At 40.0% G+C, this 18947-nt stretch overlaps 1 protein-coding gene across 51 annotated transcripts in view; it reads left to right on the forward strand.

Moving 5' to 3' along the window:
- BPTF (bromodomain PHD finger transcription factor) overlaps positions 1-18947 on the forward strand; it is a 158876-nt gene that overhangs the window by 65428 nt on the left and 74501 nt on the right. For 37 of the 51 annotated variants that reach the window (XM_005257150.4, XM_005257154.4, XM_005257159.3 and 34 more), the window contains 6 exons: positions 914-1104; positions 2440-2795; positions 3104-3235; positions 12859-12988; positions 13772-13910; positions 18652-18831. In XM_005257150.4, coding sequence (XP_005257207.1) covers positions 914-1104; positions 2440-2795; positions 3104-3235; positions 12859-12988; positions 13772-13910; positions 18652-18831 — 1128 coding nt within the window. Of the gene's footprint in view, positions 1-913; positions 1105-2439; positions 2796-3103; positions 3236-3630; positions 7489-12858; positions 12989-13771; positions 13911-18651; positions 18832-18947 lie in introns of those variants that run through there. The other 14 variants (XM_005257151.4, XM_005257157.4, XM_047435600.1 and 11 more) reach the window with 5 other exon arrangements.

Genomic DNA, 18947 nt, shown 5'->3' on the forward strand with positions numbered 1-18947 from the left:
GTCAATGGAAATTTAACAGTGATGCAGTAGTTTTAGAATGTATACAAATTTTTCCAGCCTGGGCAATATGGCGAAACCCCATCTCTGCAGAAAATACAAAAAATTAGTCAGGTGTGCTGGTGCATGCCTGTGGTTCCAGCTACTTGGAAGGCTGAGATGGGAGAATCACCTGAGCCTGGGGGTTGAGGCTGAGGTGAACTGAGATTGTGCCACTGCACTCCAGCCTGAGCAACAGAATGAGACCCTGTCTCAAAAAAAAGAAAAAAAAAATTCAGCCAAAGTGAGATTGATCAGTATGTAAAGCAGAAATTTGCTCCTGTGGAGTTTAGTGTGTCCTTAAAAATTTACTAGGAAAATGTTGAGAGGTCTTTATTAGGTTATAAAAAACTAATTTAGTTGATTGTTTTATATTGATAAGCCTACACAGATAATTATCTAAATTCCCTAGTGGAAAATTCATGACATTTATGTTTATAAGCTCAAAACTATTTGGTATTTAAACAGAATTTCAGTGGAAATCTTTCAAAAACTTAAACCTTTTTATACAGAAATCCATATTGAATATATAAGGCAACACTTTGTTAGTTTGCTTTTTGAGTTATTATTATGTTTGTTACTTGTAAGTTTGTAGCAGCTCTTCCTGTTTTCAAACAGATGAGTTTTTAAACAGATAACCCAGCATGTTTCAATTTTTTGTGGAATAATAGATGACTCACAGTAAAGTTACAACATATTTTCTTTTAAGTAAAAAACTTAAGGAATAATGATACTTGCTTTGCCATTCAAGGGCCTTTTTTTATCTGTTTACTTTGTGGATCTTACACATACACCAGATACGAGTTTTGGTGAAATAAGGTGGTTATAATTATTTACTTATTGTCAGCAATTGCTTTGTGGCCTATTCATTTGACAGTAGGTGATTTCAAATCGGAGAAGTCCAACGGGGAGCTAAGTGAATCTCCTGGAGCTGGAAAAGGAGCATCTGGCTCAACTCGAATCATCACCAGATTGCGGAATCCAGATAGCAAACTTAGTCAGCTGAAGAGCCAGCAGGTGGCAGCCGCTGCACATGAAGCAAATAAATTATTTAAGGAGGGCAAAGAGGTGTGTTCTTTCTGTTTAAAACAAAAATCTGTGGAATGTGAGATAATTTTAATTACCACACCTTAAAAATAGGGGCTGGAAATTTGTAGAAATTTGTAGACCTATTTTTGAATTATATTTTCTCTGTTTCCGAAACTGTAGTAGTTAACAAGACTGAAAGTATTAGGCTTTATAAGCATAGTTGCGTACCCAAATTTCAGTCAAGGCATAAAAATGCTATAAATGGCTGATACACTTTCTTACTACATGAACAGTTTTATTCTACATATAATTCTAAAGAATTAAAGCCTTCTTTACACATATGAGTAGGCTATTTTGGGTTTTATGGTTTATTAAAGAACTGTAGATGATTCACTGCTCAGTTCTAGCTATGATCACTTCAGGTGAACCTGCAGCTAATTAGAGGATGAGGCTTACCCACTGATAGCAGAGTACTGTGGATAGGACAGCATGGCATCCCAGCTCTGATCATGAACAATGGGATCAGAGCTAGGACTCGGTATCTCTGTGCTTCAGCTAGCCGTGGTGACAGGACATGGTCCCAACTTTGTCTCCCATATTCGAGAATTATTTGCAGGGTAGATATGCAAGAATAAAGGACATTCTTAACATTGCAGCAATTGCTTAAAAGCAATGGCTTTCATACTTCTTTTTGACTCTGACCCTCAGTCACATACACATTTTTTCATAGCAGCCCAGTACACATATTCAAAAGCTTTCTGAAATACTATTTTACTTTATGATGTGGGAAGCACTCTGATATTTTCTGTGCTAGCCTATTGCATTACATTTTATTTTTTAAAAAAGCTGAATAAGGCCACTGTTTATCTGATAGTCCACTAAGAGTTGGGATCAACTGTTTGAAAATACTATTTTGAAGTATCCATGGGGTCTTACACTGTAGCTGGAATGATAAAAGGACCCGAAAGGATGTTTTTAGGAATATATTTTTTGGGGGATAGTACATGCGATGCCCTTCTTTTTCCCTTAAGTATATGTTATAAACTTGAAAAAAATGATAGGTGAGTAATTTATATGTATGGTTTCATGGGTATATTTGAAGTATTAATACATGAAAGCAGTGAATAATAGTATCTGACATGTAATAGGTACTTAATATGTGTTAGTTTTCTTTCTGCAGGCATATCTTGGTTGTTTAATTGTAAACAATTAGCTTTACTTTTAACTTAGCTTTTAGACTTCAAAAGTTCTATCATAAGATTTATCTTAACTTACTTTGAATGATTAATTTTAATTATTGAAAGACAGTTGATTAGATGAAATTCACATCTTTGATTGACATAAATAATGCAGTCTTTTTATTTTTTTGGTCAGGTACTGGTAGTTAACTCTCAAGGAGAAATTTCACGGTTGAGCACCAAAAAGGAAGTGATCATGAAAGGAAATATCAACAATTATTTTAAATTGGGTCAAGAAGGGAAGTATCGCGTCTACCACAATCAATACTCCACCAATTCATTTGCTTTGAATAAGCACCAGCACAGAGAAGACCATGATAAGAGAAGGCATCTTGCACATAAGTTCTGTCTGACTCCAGCAGGAGAGTTCAAATGGAACGGTTCTGTCCATGGGTCCAAAGTTCTTACCATATCTACTCTGAGACTGACTATCACCCAATTAGAAAACAACATCCCTTCATCCTTTCTTCATCCCAACTGGGCATCACATAGGTAAAGGAAACTAAGGTTAATTTATTGCTGTAAATATACTAAATGTTTATAAAATGATTGTTGTAGTTGTGCATTTGAAAACGTCATTACCAATGAGTTGAATGAAGTCAATGTGGTCAGCAGACAGGACATTAGAGGCATGAGTGTACTTCTAACTTACTGAACCGACACCACTAACTATTTGGAGGATTTTTAGGAGTCATCGTCTTTATACCTGGAATCAGATGGAGGCCAAAGTTACAACTATTGTGCTTTTAATTTAAGGTCAACCTAGTGAAATAATTTCTCTCATTTCTTCTGAAATACAGGGCAAATTGGATCAAGGCAGTTCAGATGTGTAGCAAACCCAGAGAATTTGCATTGGCTTTAGCCATTTTGGAGTGTGCAGTTAAACCAGTTGTGATGCTACCAATATGGCGAGAATCTTTAGGACATACCAGGTAAATGAATTCTGAGCCTTGTAAATGATGAGTATTGGACTCCCTTTTGAAATACTAGCCTATTAATAATGAAAGTTAATATATTTAAGAGGCCATATTGAAGACTTTACTTTTGGCCTCATTTTCTTCCTATATAAGTTGTAAACATGAATGAATATTATTAGTTCTTTCTTTTTTTTTTGAGACAGAGTCTTGCACTGTTGCCCAGGCTAGCATGCAGTGGTGTAGTCTCGGCTTGCTGTAACCTCTGCCTCCCATATTCAAGCGATTCTCTTGTTTCAGCCTCCCAAGTAGCTAGGATTACAGGCACCCGCCACTGTGCCCAGCTAATTATTTGTATTTTTAGTAGAGACATGGTTTCACTGTGTTGGCTAGGCTGGTCTTGAACTCCTGACCTTGTGATCTGCCCTCCTCGGCCTCCCAAAGTGCCGGGATTACAGGTGTGAGCCACCGCACCCACCATGAATATTAGTTCTTATTTGCCATACAGGATTGTGATGAAGATCAAAAGAGATCTGGTATATGAAAATTTAAAATATTTTCTAAAGTAAATAGCATTTTTATTGACTAGAAAGAGCACTCACATTTTTTAGTATTCTGGAATCTTGTAGGCACTATGCTAGGAATCTGATTTACATCTGTTTTTAAAGTTCATTGTCCAACCAAAGATCATATAGCTCCTGAGTAGACCCAGGGCTGTGCAACTTCAACAGATGATTAAAAAGAAAGAAAATTTTGTGACTTGAATCTACTTTTTAGCCCTGATAGACTTGCTTTGTAACTTTAGTCTTTAAAAAGTTATTATTACAAAACTAAGGTTATGGTAAATAATAGAATATTTAAGGGCATAAAGCAAAAAGTAAGAACCATTTTATCTTCTCTGCCCCAATCTTTTCTACAGAGTCCACTCCAAAGGCATAGCCCTATAGTTTTTAAAATATAAATACAAGCCAGGCACATGGGCTCAACTTCTGTAATCCCAGCACCTAGGGAGACCGAGGTACTAAAAACACAAAAATTAGCTGGGTGTGGTGGCACATGCCTGTAGTCCCAGGTACTCGGGAGGCTGAGGCAGGAGAATCACTTTAACTCAGGAGGCGGAGGTTACAGTGAACCGAGATTGCACCACTGCACTCCAGCCTGGGTGACAGAGCAAGACTTCATCTCAAAAAAAAAAAAAAAAAAAAAAAAGGAATGTAATATATGTTTTTGAGAAAAGTACATTTATGCCTACTAAATGGTTTTCATTTGCTAAAGGTATGGCTCCCAGTTTTCTTTGGTGTTTCCACCACATACATTTTTTTTTTTTTTTTTTTGACACAGGATCTCACTGTCACCCAGGCTGGAGTACAGTGGCGCCATCACAGCTCACTGCAGCCTTGACCTCCCTGGGCTAAGGTTATCCTCTCACCTCAGCCTCCTGAGTAGTTGGGACTACAGACGCATTCCACTATGCCTGGCTAATTTTTGTATTTTTTATAGACACGGGGTCTCATTATGTTGCCCAGGCTGTTCTTGAACTCTGGGCTCAAGCAATCTGCCTGCCTCAGCCTACCGGAGTGCTGGGATTACAGTTGTGATACATTTCTGATAAGAGTGCAATTAGTACAGTGGTTGCTATAACCATTTTAGAGAATGGTTTGACAAAAACAAAGTTAAAAATGCAATTCGACTCCTTCCTAGTACAGTAGAGAGACTTTTACCCTGTGTACATGAGAAGACATTATAGCAGGGTGTTCCTTATAATATTATTTCATAATGGTGAAATTTGGAAACAATTCCTAAGTACTCAATCAGGCTTTTTTTTTTTTTTTTTGAGACGGAGTCTCGCTCTGTCACCCAGGCTGGAGTGCAGTGGCGTGATCTCGGCTCACTGCAGCTCCGCCTCCCGGGTTCACGCCATTCTCCTGCCTCAGCCTCCCGAGTAACTGGGACTATAGGCACCCACCACTATGCCCAGCTAATTTTTTGTATTTTTAGTAGAGATGGGGTTTCACCGTGTTAGCCAGGATGGTCTCCATCTCCTGACCTTGTGATCCGCCCGCCTTGGCCTCCCAAAGTGCTGGGATTACAGGCATGAGTGACTGCACCCAGCCAATATTGGGCATGTTTAAATTGTGTTATTTCATGATGGACTGTTACATAGCAGTGAAAAACACACTGGAGCAACAAGTGTCGAGATTGAATCTCGTAAGTTTACAATAGAAGGAAAACATTTGGAGAGGGTGGGAGGGGCACAAGGGTTGTAAAAATTACCTGTTGGGTACAGTGTTTACTCTACGGGTAATGAGTAACTAGAAACTGTCCCCCCAGTGCACATAGACCCCTTGAATCTAAAATAAAAATTTTTAAAAAGAAAAAACAGTTCCATCACTAAAAATACATCAGGATAAATCTATATACTACATACATTTATGGAGATTTTAAAAGCATGTGTGATAACACAATGTTACAGTATTGTTTAGGGATATAGACGTTTGTAAAATTTTAAAGGCAAGGGCTATATGCTTGAAAGGTAAGAAATACACTTCTAAATAAATAAATACTCAACTATAAATCATAAAACTAGAAGACATTTTGATCTGGATGTTCATGAAAGTACTACATACATTGAAATTTGTCACATGCAATTAAAGACTTCCTAGGAGAAGTTGCTAGCTTTTAGTGCTTATATTAGAAAAGAAAAACTGCAAATTAATTAGCTAGGGATACATCTCAAGGAACCAACCTAAAGAAATAAAATATTAAAGATGAGCAAATATGATGAAATAGAAAACAAATATACCTTAGATCCCATTATGTTTTATAAGTCTCTGATAAGATTATCAAGGGGGAGGAAATAATACAGCACAAATAACCAATATCAAGAATAAAAAAAGAGGCCGGGCATGGTGGCTCATGCCTGTAATCCCAGCACTTTGGGAGGCCAAGGTGGGCAGTCACCTGAGGTCGGGAATTCGAGACCAGCCTGACGAACATGGAGAAACCCTTTCTCTACTTAAAAAAAACAAAAACAAAAAACGAAATTAACCAGGCGTGGTGGCACATGCCTGTAATCCCAGCTACTCGGGAGGCTGAGGCATGAGAATCGCTTGAACCCGGGAGGCGGAGGTTGCGGTGAGCCGAGATCATGCCATTGCACTCCAGCCTAGGCAACAAGAGTGAAACTCTGTCTCAAAAAAAAAAAAAAAAAAAAAAAAAAAAAAGTAAAGAAAGAGACATACTAACCAATATTTCTGATTCTCTTTTATTAGAACTTGGAATTTTAAAGCCTTCACAGGGTCACTAACACAGTATTCAGGTTTCCTACATCCACAAAGAAAGGGGTCCACCTAGAAAGAGTGGACCAAGATGGTGGAATAAAAGTCCCCAACTCATCGTGCCCCACCTTCCATCCCCACTGCCACAGAAAGGGACCCACCGAGCTCCTTTTGGGTGGGGGGAAGGGTTGGGGAGGATGCCACAATGATCTCAGTCCTTAGTAGGGCAGAAGCCACACTCTTAGGCAGGAAAAGGATTTCTGGTTATCACTGCACCTGTCATTAAGGTGATCGCAGGACCAGATGATTTCATAAGGTATTTCTTAAATTTCGAGAACCAGATAGTTCTATTTAAACTTTTCTACCAGAATAGAAAAAGGAAATTTTATAATTATTGTTTCTGTTAGTGTGAAACTGTTAGGAAACTTGATAAATAGAAATAGACAAATAGAAAATTATGGCCCTGTCTTCTTTATTAATATTTATTAATAATTAATAGCAAATAGGTGTATCTATAAGAAATCTGAAAATATTGGTATGCAGATATATTCAGGAGTAAATTTAAAGAATAAGAAACCATGGCTGAATTGGCTTCACCTTAGACACCAATCTCCAATACTAGGAGATTACTAATACCATACTATTTTAAGAAGTCAAAGAAAGGCTGGATGCAGTGGCTGACACTTGTAATCCCAGCACTTTGGAAGGCCAAGGCGAGTGGATCACTTGAGCCCAGGAGTTTAAGACCAGCATGGCCAATGTGGTGAAACCCCATCTCTACTAAAAATTAGCCAGGCATGGTGTTGCATGCCTTTAGTCCCAGCTACTAGGAGGCTGAGGCAGGAGAACCACTTGAACCTGGGAGGCAGAGGTTGCAATGAGCTGAGATCGCACCAGTGCACTCCATCCTGAGCAACAGAGCAAGATGCTGTCTTAAAAAGAAAAAAGTTGAAGAAAGGAAACCTTTTGATCATCTCATTAGATGCCAAGAAGGTATTTTATCTAAGTTCATTATAATTTATTGGGTTTTTTTATTTTTAATTTTTTTACATTTTTAATTTTTTCGTAGAGATGGGGTCTCCCTATGTTACTCAGACTGATCTTGAATCTCTGACCTCAAGTTATCCTCCCACCTTGACCTCCCAAAGTGCTGGGATTACAGGTGTGAGCCGCTGCACTTGGCCTATTTATTCATTCTTTTTTTAAACTCTTAGATAAATACGAGTATATGAAGTCTTTTTTTTTTTTTTTGAAGATGTATTGCAAACCAAATTATTATGCCTTTTGGTGAAACCCTTGAAGCATTCCCAATAACATTCAGGTGGAACAAAAAAGATACCCACTATTGGCCAGGTGAGGTGGCTCTCCCACCTGTAATCCCAGCACTTTGGGCAACCACGTCAGGAGAATCACTTGAGGCCAGGAGCTGGAGGCTGCAGTGAGCCATAATTGCACCACTGCACTCCAGCATGGGCAACAGAGTGATACCCTGTCTCAAAAAAAAAAAAAAAAAAAAATTTCTAAAAGTACCAGGAAATGCAGTTTGCCAAGAGAAATAAAACTTATAAATATTGTCAAGATATAGACACAATTATTATATGCAGTTGATCTAATTAATTAACACATACAATTTTGTTCCACGCTGAACTCCACCAAAACTGTGGCCAAACTTTTGTAAAATTACAGACCCACAGGGACAAGAGGAACAACAGAAAATACACCACCTATAAAATTGCTGAAGCAATAATGCAGGTAGACAAATGGCAGCCTACCCACAAAGGCCAAATCCCAAGTCAGTGGGGGAAAACAGTCCTCAAAAGATCCAAAAGCAGGAAGTACAGAGCCAGCCGCTTTGGATGCTTGGCTGTAGTAGACCTGTTTTATGCTGCAGTCACGCCAGATACCTTGATTGTGGTGAGCCCTGTATCTTCCAGGGTTTGCTCATGATCTCACCCACTGATTTCACCAAAAGAGGTCTGTAAACTTTCCTGAAAGCTGAAGCCAGACTGTGACCCAGAGACAAGTTTATATTTTCCTGGGAACCTTCTTTGATAGTAACAATACTGCTCTATGCAGGTAGTTTTATACTTGATGCTGAGTTTTTTTTCTTTTTTTTTTTTTTTTGAGACAGAATCTTGTTTGTCGCTCAGGCTGGAGTGCAGTGGTGCAATCTCAGCTCACTGCAACCTCCACCTCCCGGGTTCGAGTGATTCTCCTGCCTCAGCCTCCTGAATAGCTGGTATTATAGGCGTGTGCCACCACGACCAGCTAATTTTTGTATTTTTAGTAGAGATGGGGTTTCACTGTGTTGGCCAGGCTGGTCTCCGACTCCCAACCTCATGATCTGCCCACCTCGGCTTCCCAAAGTGCTGGGATTACAAGCATGAGCCACCGCGCCCGGCCTATGCTGAGTTTTCAAAAGGCAAACTTATACAGTTTGGGATGCACACACATAGGTTCTAAAAGTATAAGGAAAAACAAGGGAATGTTTAGCACAAAAGTATTGATTGCCAGGGAGTTGGACACACAAGCATCTGATGTATTGGTTGTAGATAAAGTTCTGTTTCTTAACCTGGTTGCATTTTACATATTTTTGAAAATTTTAATGAAGCAGAAGATTCCAGGAACAACAACAACAAAAACCTCCAGCACCTAGGAATAATTGTGTGTGTGCGCATGTGTGTGTCTGTGTGTTTTGAGACAGAGTCTTGCTGTGTCGCCCAGGCTAGAGGGCAGTGGCGCCATCTCGGCTCACTGCAACCTCCACCTCCTGGTTTCAAGCAATTCTCCTGCCTCAGCCTGCTGAGTAGCTGGGATTACAGACAAGTACCACAATGCCCGGCTAATTTTCGTATTTTTAGTAGAGATGGGGTTTTGTCGTGTTGGCCAGGCTGGTCTCGAACTCCTGTGCTCAAGTGATCCACCCTCAATGGCTTCCCAAAGTGCTGGGATTACAGGCGTTAGCCACCGCGTTCAGCCAAATGTAACAAGAAATATTCAAGGCCTGTGTAAAGCAATCTTTAGGCCAGGTGTGGTGGCACATGCCTGTAATCCCAGCACTTTGGGAGGTGAAGCGGGAGGATTGCTTGAGCCCAGGAGTTCAAGACCAGCCTGGGCAACATAGGGAGACCCTGTCTCTACCAAAAATAATAATTAATTAATTAATTAAAAAGCTAAGCAATCTTTAAAGCTTAACTAAAGACATGAAGGATACTTTGGGAATAAGATTTTCCATCCTGGAGCAGGGGAGGTTTGACCAAAACGATACTAATATTTGATCTAGAAAAGTTAATGTGCAAGAATACTGCACACAGTAGCTCACGCCTGTAATCCCAACACTTTGAGAGGTTGAGGAGGGAGGATCACCTGAAGTGAGAAGTTTGAGACCATCCTGGGCAACATAGCAAGACTCTGTCTCTACAAAAAAATTAAAATTGGCCAGGCATGGTCTTGCTTGCCTGTAATGCCAGCTGCTTGGGAGACTGAGCCTAGAAGTTGGAGGAGGATTGCTTGAGCCCAGGAGTTTGAGGCTGCAGTGAGCTATGATTGCGCCACTGTACTGCATCCTGGGCAACAGAGTGACAACCTGTCTTTAAAAAAAAAGAAAAGAAAAAAAAGTTATTGTGTAAGAATAGCCAAAAGGGGAAAAAATAGATGTTAGTGAAAAAGGTACTAGATATTAAAGCACATTTTGAAGCTTCAATAATTTGTTCTACAGAAGAAGCAAATCAGTAGATAAAATACAGAATCCAAAAATAGACCTAAGCATGGGAATTTAGCTGTAGTAGCATTGCACATCACAAAGGGAAAGCATGTTTGGGAAGATATCACTTAGATCTCTGCCTTAGCAAAAAACATTTAGATTGATGAAGAATTGTTAAAAAAAAAAAAACCCAGAACCCTAAAAACAAAAGAAAACGTCAATAAGAAAGCATGAATTAATTTATGTTTTTGTTGTGATACTTTCTTTTTAAACAGATAAAAAATCCAGATGCCATAGAGGAAAAAAGTGGATACATATATTTAAAATTCTGAGTGGAAAAATGTTATTGTAATCAAAGTCAAAAGACAGATGACAAACCGAGGAAAAATATTTTTACCACAAATGGAAAATTTTCTTGATTGACAAAGACCTTTTATAAATGAAAACTACTAATAGTCTAATACAAACAAGACAAAGGATTTGAATAGGCATTTTGCAGAAAAATAAATATGAAAGGCCAGTAGACATAAAAAATGATTACTTCTCTCATAATTAAAAACAATGGGATAGTATTTTTTACCTCTGAGTTTGACTAACAGTTTAGAAGTTCAATACTAACTCAGCATGAGTGAAGGTGTAGGAACGCAGGGTGGCTTTATGATTGCACTGTTCTGAAGAGTAGTTTGACCCTATATCCGTCAGCATTTTCAGTGCAAGAACTTTTGGACCCAGCCATCCCACCACTGGAGGATATAGGGGGGTACTCCCCAGGTTTACCAAGAAAGACATAAAATATTGTTTGTTACAGCTATGGCTGTGATAGCAAAACACCACAAAACCCTGAGCACCAGTGGAGTTGAAGTTGAGTTCATTCTCTTGGTTGGACTTCGTTGGCCAAGAAGTAGAAAGAAAATCTGCCACTGGCACACCCACCAGCATGCTACTCTGGGATAGGTAGCATCAGAGATTAGCCATAAGACTGCCTAACTGGCCTTGCTTCCTCCACAAAGAGAAGCCTTTGTATTTGGTGATAAAAGGGACCTCTTTGCCTCATGGACACCAAGAACACAACTGAGCACCCTGCCCAGCTTTGAGCTCCTAGGGTGTCACTGCGCTGAAGTCCTTCAGACAGTGCTCCATTCCTGGCCTCTCTCAGTGAAAATGGCCCAGTTGCCATGCTGGACCTGGCCTTTCAGAGGTGTATAGAAGCCAAGCCCTCAAAATCTCCATGAGAAATCCTACACAGTCCTCCTGGCATAGTCACCCCGCCTTACTCCTGTAGCCTGAGACTGTCAGGTTATCCACCGTATTGTGCCTACAGAGCTAGTCCTTCTCCTTAGTTCCAAGCGTGTTGGCAGAGGGATGGAATTTGAGTACATTAGCTCCCAGTGAGGATCTGCTCCCTTTCCCCTCCTCCCATCAGCTTATGAGAGACTACGAAGAGCCTATGGAGAATGTTTGCTACACCAGTTGAGTGCAGTTAATAGGCATGAGCTGTCAGCCTGGGGGAGACTGTATTCTGGGAACCTACAATCACAGGGACACAAAGCCGTCGTAAAAGTTGGGAGGGAGAGAAGAAGCCGGGAGATTGATGGGGAGTTTTTTGTGGGGGGAAAGGAGATAAAAAGACTGAAATCCCCTCCCACATCTTTTCGGCATCACTACCCCAAGTTAACAAAAGGTCTCTATTCTTTCTGCAGAGCTGTGCATGAGAAATTGGCTGCATCTGGTTAGGGTGTGATAAAAGCAGTTCTTCTGCCACTAGCGCTCTTAGAGACAAGAGCTCCTTTCTTTGTAGGTTTTGCTTCGTGTCTCTCTGAGAAATATTCTGATTCATAAAAATCTAGTCTAATCCCCTAAATGTAGAGCCTCACCACAGTCTTTACTGGTAGGTGCAGTGATTTCCTTTCCTGCCTGAGAAGGAGTTGTGGCCGATGCCTGTGTCTCATGATTTAGGTCAATATGGGCCGACCTTCCTCATCCTTCCTCTCTTTCTCGAAAGATGGGGCCCCATGGGCCCCTTTCTCTGCGGATGTAAGAAACCTGATTTCTGTTAGTAGATCTGTGAGTGCTTTAAAATCCGCAGTGCTTGTGAGAATCAGAAATACTGGTTGATAAAATAAATGTTTTTGTATTCTTTGGTCTTCGTTTTTTGGAAGGAAAAAACTCTGGAAACAAAGTATTCTTTAACAGTGACCTGGTTTAATAAATTATGGCATATCCATGCAATGGAATATTTTTTAATTCCTTAAAAAAATCTGTATATTTTGATAAGGAAAGATCTTCTAGTGTAATTATCCATTGATTAAAAACTGTGGTTGTGTGTGCACTAAAAAGTACATATGTGTGAATATGTAATGGACTATGTAAAGAGATACATAAATGTTGGTATATACCATATATACATGAAATGTTTTAGAAATAAATCATAATTATTTCTTATGGAAAGGATATAGTATTTCTTGTTTTTGCCTTTTTGTACTCTTTATCTTTTCTTGTTAAGGAATTGTACAACTACAACTAAGTTTTGTCAGTTGGGGTTGTCTGGTTTGTAGGATTATAACAGTCTGCTTTGTTTTCCTAATTTTTCAGTATTGCATTTTTATCTTTTCTGTTTATTTTTCCAAGTTAACATTGTCTTTCTATGCATGAATTCTTAGGTTACACCGGATGACATCAATTGAAAGAGAAGAAAAGGAGAAAGTCAAAAAAAAAGAGAAGAAACAGGAAGAAGAAGAAACGATGCAGCAAGCGACATGGGTAAAATACACATTTCCAGTTAAGCATCAGGTAATTTTTACAACAACCCTTTAAAATAGTGTTAGCCATTTCTGAGACTTTTATTCTGAAACTTTGAATACTTACTAATTTTATTTTTGACATAGTCTTTGTATTTTATTTATTTATTTATTTATTTTGAGACAGAGTCTCGCTCTGTTGCCCAGATTGGAGTGCAGTGGCACAATCTTGGCTCACTACAGCCTCCGCCTCCTGGGTTCAAACGATTCTCCTGCCTCAGCCTCCCAAGTAGCTGGGATTATAGGCGTGCACCACCACGCCTGGCTAATTTTTGTATTTTTAGTAGAGATGGGGTTTCACCATGTTAGCCAGGTGAGTCTTGGAACTCCTGACCTCAGGTGATCCTCCTGACTTGGCCTCCCAAAGTGCTGGAATTACAGGCATGAGCCACTGCTCCTGGCCTACTTTTGACATAGTCTTTTAATTAATATGTTAGGGATAAAGTACATCTTCCTGGCAAATTTACAAAGCATTGGTTTATCTTAGAATATTGGAGGCTTACAAGGCCAATTTGTTGAAATTGTTATAAAACTGTAAAATTGTGTTACATTTTACATGCTAAAAAGGAGTATTAGTTCATTAATCTTTGATTCCCAGTGAAAACTAAATTGATTAGTAAATTTTTTTTGTCCCCACTTGGAAAAACCTGGGGATGATTAGTAAATTTCATTTGCCTGACTTTGAAACTTGTTTGGTAAAAATGCATAAAACCACATGTGGTTTATAAGCATTGTTATTCTTATTGTTTAATCAAAATGTTTTCATTTACACCAGGTTTGGAAACAAAAAGGTGAAGAGTACAGAGTGACAGGATATGGTGGTTGGAGCTGGATTAGTAAAACTCATGTTTATAGGTTTGTTCCTAAATTGCCAGGCAATACTAATGTGAATTACAGAAAGTCGTTAGAAGGAAGTAAGTAATTAAAATTACATGTCCTGCATAATCGTTTCTGCTTTATATTTCTTATAAATTTGTAGTATTTTGACTATATTTTAGATAAAAACATTTTTCTGAAATTTTTATTCGTACTGCAGAATTACTAGTTTAGTTTACTAAAACCCTAAAACTTTAAAAATTACCTTTATTCACAGGAATTTGATGTCTCAGATTTCCGTAAGATTGTAGAATGGAACTTGTTTTTTAGAAGACGCCTCAGCCGCCTGATTATCATTTTTCAAAATCTTAAATTTAGGCCAGGCAGCCAGGCGCGGTGGTTCACGCCTGTAATCCCAGCACTGTGGGAGGCTGAGGCAGGTGGATTACTTGAGGTCAGGAGTTCTAGACTACCTGGCTAACATGGTGAAACCCTGTCTCTACTAAAAATACAAAATTTGCTGGGTGTGCTGGTACACGCCTGTGATCCCAGCTACTGAGGAGGCTGAGGCAGGAGAATGGCTTAAACCCAGGAGGCAGAGGTTGCAGTGAACCAAGATTGCACCACTGCACTCCAGCCTAGGTGACAGAGCAAGACTCTGTCTCAAAAAAAAAAAAATTCAGGCCAGCCACAGTGGCTTACACCTATAATCCCAGTGCTTTGGGAGGCTGAGGCAGGAGGATCACTTGAGGCCAGGAGTTCAAGGCCAGCCTGGGCAACATAGCAAGACCCCATCTCTACAAAAACGTTTTAAAAATTAGCCAGGTGTAGTGCCACATGGCTGTGGTCCCAGCTACTTGGGGGTCTGAGGCAGGAGGATTGCTTGAGGCCAGGAGTTTGAGGCTGCAGTAAGCTATAATTGTGCTGTTGCACTCGAGCCTGGATGACAGAACCAGACTCAATCTCTTAAAAAAAAAAATCTTAATTCAGTACTAATTCACTGAGGAGTCATGTATCTAGTAACCTTAGCATTGTTGCAAGTAAGAGAAAACCAGAAAGAAAGTGATAGAGGCTTCCAAAACACTGTCACATAAATGAGGTTTTTCAGTGAGAACATTTGGACACAGGATGGGGAACATCACACACCGGGGCCTGTCGTGGGGTTGGGGGAGGTTGGGGGATAGCATTAGGAGATATACCTAATGTAAATGTAGAGTTAATGGGTGCAGCACACCAACATGGCACATGTATACATATGTCACAAACCTGCACGTTGTGCGCACGTACCCTAGAACTAAAGTATAATTTAAAAAAATAATGAGGTTTTTTTTGGGGGGAGGGGTTGTTTTTGTTTTTTTGAAATGGAGTCTTGCTCTGTCACCAGGCTGGAGTGCAGTGGCGTATCTGGCCTCACTGCAACCTCCGCCTCCTGGGTTCAAGCAGTTCTCCTGCCTCAGCCTCCCGAGTAGCTGGGACTAAAAGTGCACACCACCATGCCCAGCTAATTTTTGTATTTTTTATAGAGACAGGGTTTCACTATGTTGGCCAGGGTGGTCTCAATCTCTTGACTTTGTGATCTGCCCGCCTCGGCCTCCCAAAGTGCTGGGATTACAGGTGTGACCACTGCGCCTGGCCTATAAATAAGCTATTAATTGAGTTTTTACAACTGGCTAATGAGCTTTAGTATTTAGAATCACCGAACTCTATAGAGATGAACTGCTCTTTTAAAAGATCATGTGTTTTTAAACTCAAGTTCAATGAGCCGATTATTTCACGAGGGTGCCAGGTGACATAGTGAAGACCACATATGCACAGAGTGATAGAACGCTGGCAGGTCCCAAGCCCTTTTCTGTGATTCTTCTCTTACCTCACCACTATCCTGCTCTTGACAGGATTACGGTTTCTTTGCACTCTCTTCTCTTTCTTCAGCCAGACCTTTCTGGAAGAAATCATTCATTTAAATTAAAAATAGATATATTTTTTATATCTATTTTCTCACACCAGTATCTTGCTCGCGACAGAATTATGATTTCTTTGCACTCTCTTCCCTTCAGCCAGACCTTTCTGGAAGAAATCATTCATTTAAATAAAAAATGGATATACCTTGCTAGGTCCTTGGGATATTTAGGTTCAAGTGAAGAAGGTAAAGAATAGGAAAATGCCTTTAAGTCCAGGTGCCATGGCTCACACCTGTGATGGGATGCCAAGGCAGGGGAGGATCAGTTGAGCCCAGGAGTTCAAGAAACAGCCTGGGCAACATGGCAAATCCCCATCTCTACAAAAAATGCAAAAATTAGCCAGACATATTGGTACACACCTGTATTCCCAGTTACTCAGGAGGCTGATGAGGGAGGATCGTTTGAGCCCAGGAGTTCAAGGCTGCAGTGAGCTGAGATGAACCCACTGTGCTCCAGCCTGGGTGACAGAGCAAGACACTGTCTCCAAAAAAAAAAAAAAAACCTTTAAGTCCCAAGAATATTCATCTAGACAGTAGTTCTGTTTTGGGAGGCTTGATTTTTTTTTTTTTTTTGTAATTATTATGGGAAATTTAAAACTACACAAATACAAAGAGAATAATGAACTCATTCAGCTTCAACAATTATCAAAGTTTATCACTTTTTTTTTTTTTTTGAGATGGAGTTTTGCTCTGTCACCCAGGCTAGAGTGCAGTGGCATGGTCTCAGCTCACTGCAACCTCCACCTCCCGGGTTCAATCAATTCTCTTGCCTCAGCCTCCCAAATAGCTGGGATTACAAGTACCCGCCACCACGCCGAGCTAATTTTTGTATTTTTAATAGAGACGGGGTTTTGCCATGTTGGCCAGGCTGATCTCGAACTCCTGACTTCAAGTGATCTGCCTGCCTCGGCCTCCCAAAGTGCTGGGATTACAGGTGTGAGTCACTGCTCCCAGCCAAATTTTATCACTCTTTGTTTAGTTGTCACTGACCACTTTTTTTAATCCTGCAGTGTTTTAAAATAAATCCCAGAAATCATGTTTCACCAGAAGTTCAATATGTATCTCTACGTAGACATTTTTCCATAACCATCATGTCATTATCACACTCAACAAATTAACCGTAATTAACAAATTAATAATCTGATTCTCAGTCCATATTCCACTTGCCCTGGTTGTCTTAGAGATACCTTTTTACTGTAAGCAGTAAACAAGGCCACAGATTGCCTTTGATCCTTTTTTTCAGTCTTTTATTCTGTTATATAAACTTCAAGGAGTCCAAGAACCATTGAAATAGATTACAAAAGTTTATATACATACTTTTTTCCTTGGTAGAGGATCATAGCATTTATCCATTTCTAATAGGGTTCTGTGACACAAAGTATGTTAGAAACCACTGATATGGGCTTTCTGGAATGATCAAATAGATTGTGATAATCCTTCATACACGAGTTTTCTTTCATTTTATTTTTTTATGTGTGTGACAGAGTCTTGCTCTGTCAGCCAGGCTGGAGTGCAGTGGCACCATCTCAGCTCGCTGCAAACTCTGCCTCCCAGGTTGAAGCAATTCTCCTGCTTCAGTCTCCCAAGTAGCTGGGACTACAGGCTCGTACCACCATGACTGGCTAATTTTTGTATTTTTAGTAGAGATGGGGTTTCACCTTGTTGGGCTGGTGTTGAACTCCTGGCCTCAAGTGATCTGCCTGCCTCAGCCTCCCAAAGTGCTGGGATTACAGGCATGAGCCACCACACTCACCCAAATTTTATCACATTTGTTTCAGTTGTCACTGACCACTTTTTTTTTTTTTTTTTTTGAGATGGAGTCTCACTCTGTCACCCAGGCTGGAGTGCAGTGGTACGATCTCAGTTCACTGCAGCCTCCAACTCCCAGGTTCCAGCGATTCTCCTGCCTCAGCCTCCTGAGTAGGGATCACAGTTGCACGCCACCATGCCTGGCTAATTTTTGTATTTTTAATAGAGGCGGGGTTTCACCATGTTGGCTAGGCTGGTCTTGAACTCCTTGTCCTCAAGTGATCCGCCCACCTTGGCATCCCAAAGTGCTGGGATTACAGGCATAAGCCACTACACCCATCCAAATTTTATCACTCTTGTTTCAGTTGTCACTGACAATTTTTTTTTTTTTTTTTTTTTTTGTTGACACGGAGTCTCACTCTGTCGCCCAGGCTGGAGTGCAGTGGCGTGACCTCAGCTCACTGCGACCTCCGCCTCCTGGGTTCAAGCAATTCTCCTGCCTCAGCCTCCTGAGTAGCTGAGATCACAGGTGTGCACCACCACACCCAGATAATTTTTGTATTTTTAGTAGAGATCGGGTTTCACCATGTTAGCCAGGCTGGTCTCAAACTCCTGACCTCAGGTGATGCACCCACCTCGGCCCCTCAAAGTGCTGGGATTACAGGCATGAGCCACCGCACCAGCCTATAGTATTAATGTTTATCTTGTAGCTGACTATGTTACTGAATCACAGTTTTTTGTTTTTTTTTTAATTTTTGGACACAGAGCCTCACTCTGTCACCCAGGCTGGAGTGCAGTGGCATGAGCCACCGCACCAGGTCCCCCCCCCCCTTTTTTTTTTTATCCTGCAGTGTTTTAAAACAAATTTCCTAAATCATATTTCACCAAAAATGTTCACAAAGTTTTCTGAAATGTCTGAAGTTCAGGCATTCCTTCTGTGTTTTAGGTCAGCCAGGCATATAGGATTATATGGTACCTTATACTCAATAAGACCTTTGTCTTTTTTTTTTTTTTAAATGAAAAAATGAAACATAACTTGCTGGAAATTACTTGTTTATTTTCACTAAACTTGACATATTAAAGTGCTAATACTCTGGAAATAACGTAAATTATCGTTACATGGTTCTTTTTAGCCAAAAATAATATGGATGAAAATATGGATGAGTCAGATAAAAGAAAATGTTCACGAAGTCCAAAAAAAATAAAAATAGAGCCTGATTCTGAAAAAGATGAGGTAAAAGGTTCAGATGCTGCAAAAGGAGCAGACCAAAATGAAATGGATATCTCAAAGATTACTGAGAAGAAGGACCAAGGTAAGGAGAGTCAGCTGTGGAGGGCAGCCTGGGGGTGATAAGAATGCACTGGATCAGGGTCCCACCACAGGAAAGGTACTGCGTTGTGTTTTCTTGATAACAGCTTTATCAAAACA

Source organism: Homo sapiens, chromosome 17 (genome assembly GCF_000001405.40).
Source record: "Homo sapiens chromosome 17, GRCh38.p14 Primary Assembly".
In the NCBI taxonomy this organism is placed as follows: Eukaryota; Metazoa; Chordata; class Mammalia; order Primates; family Hominidae; genus Homo; species Homo sapiens.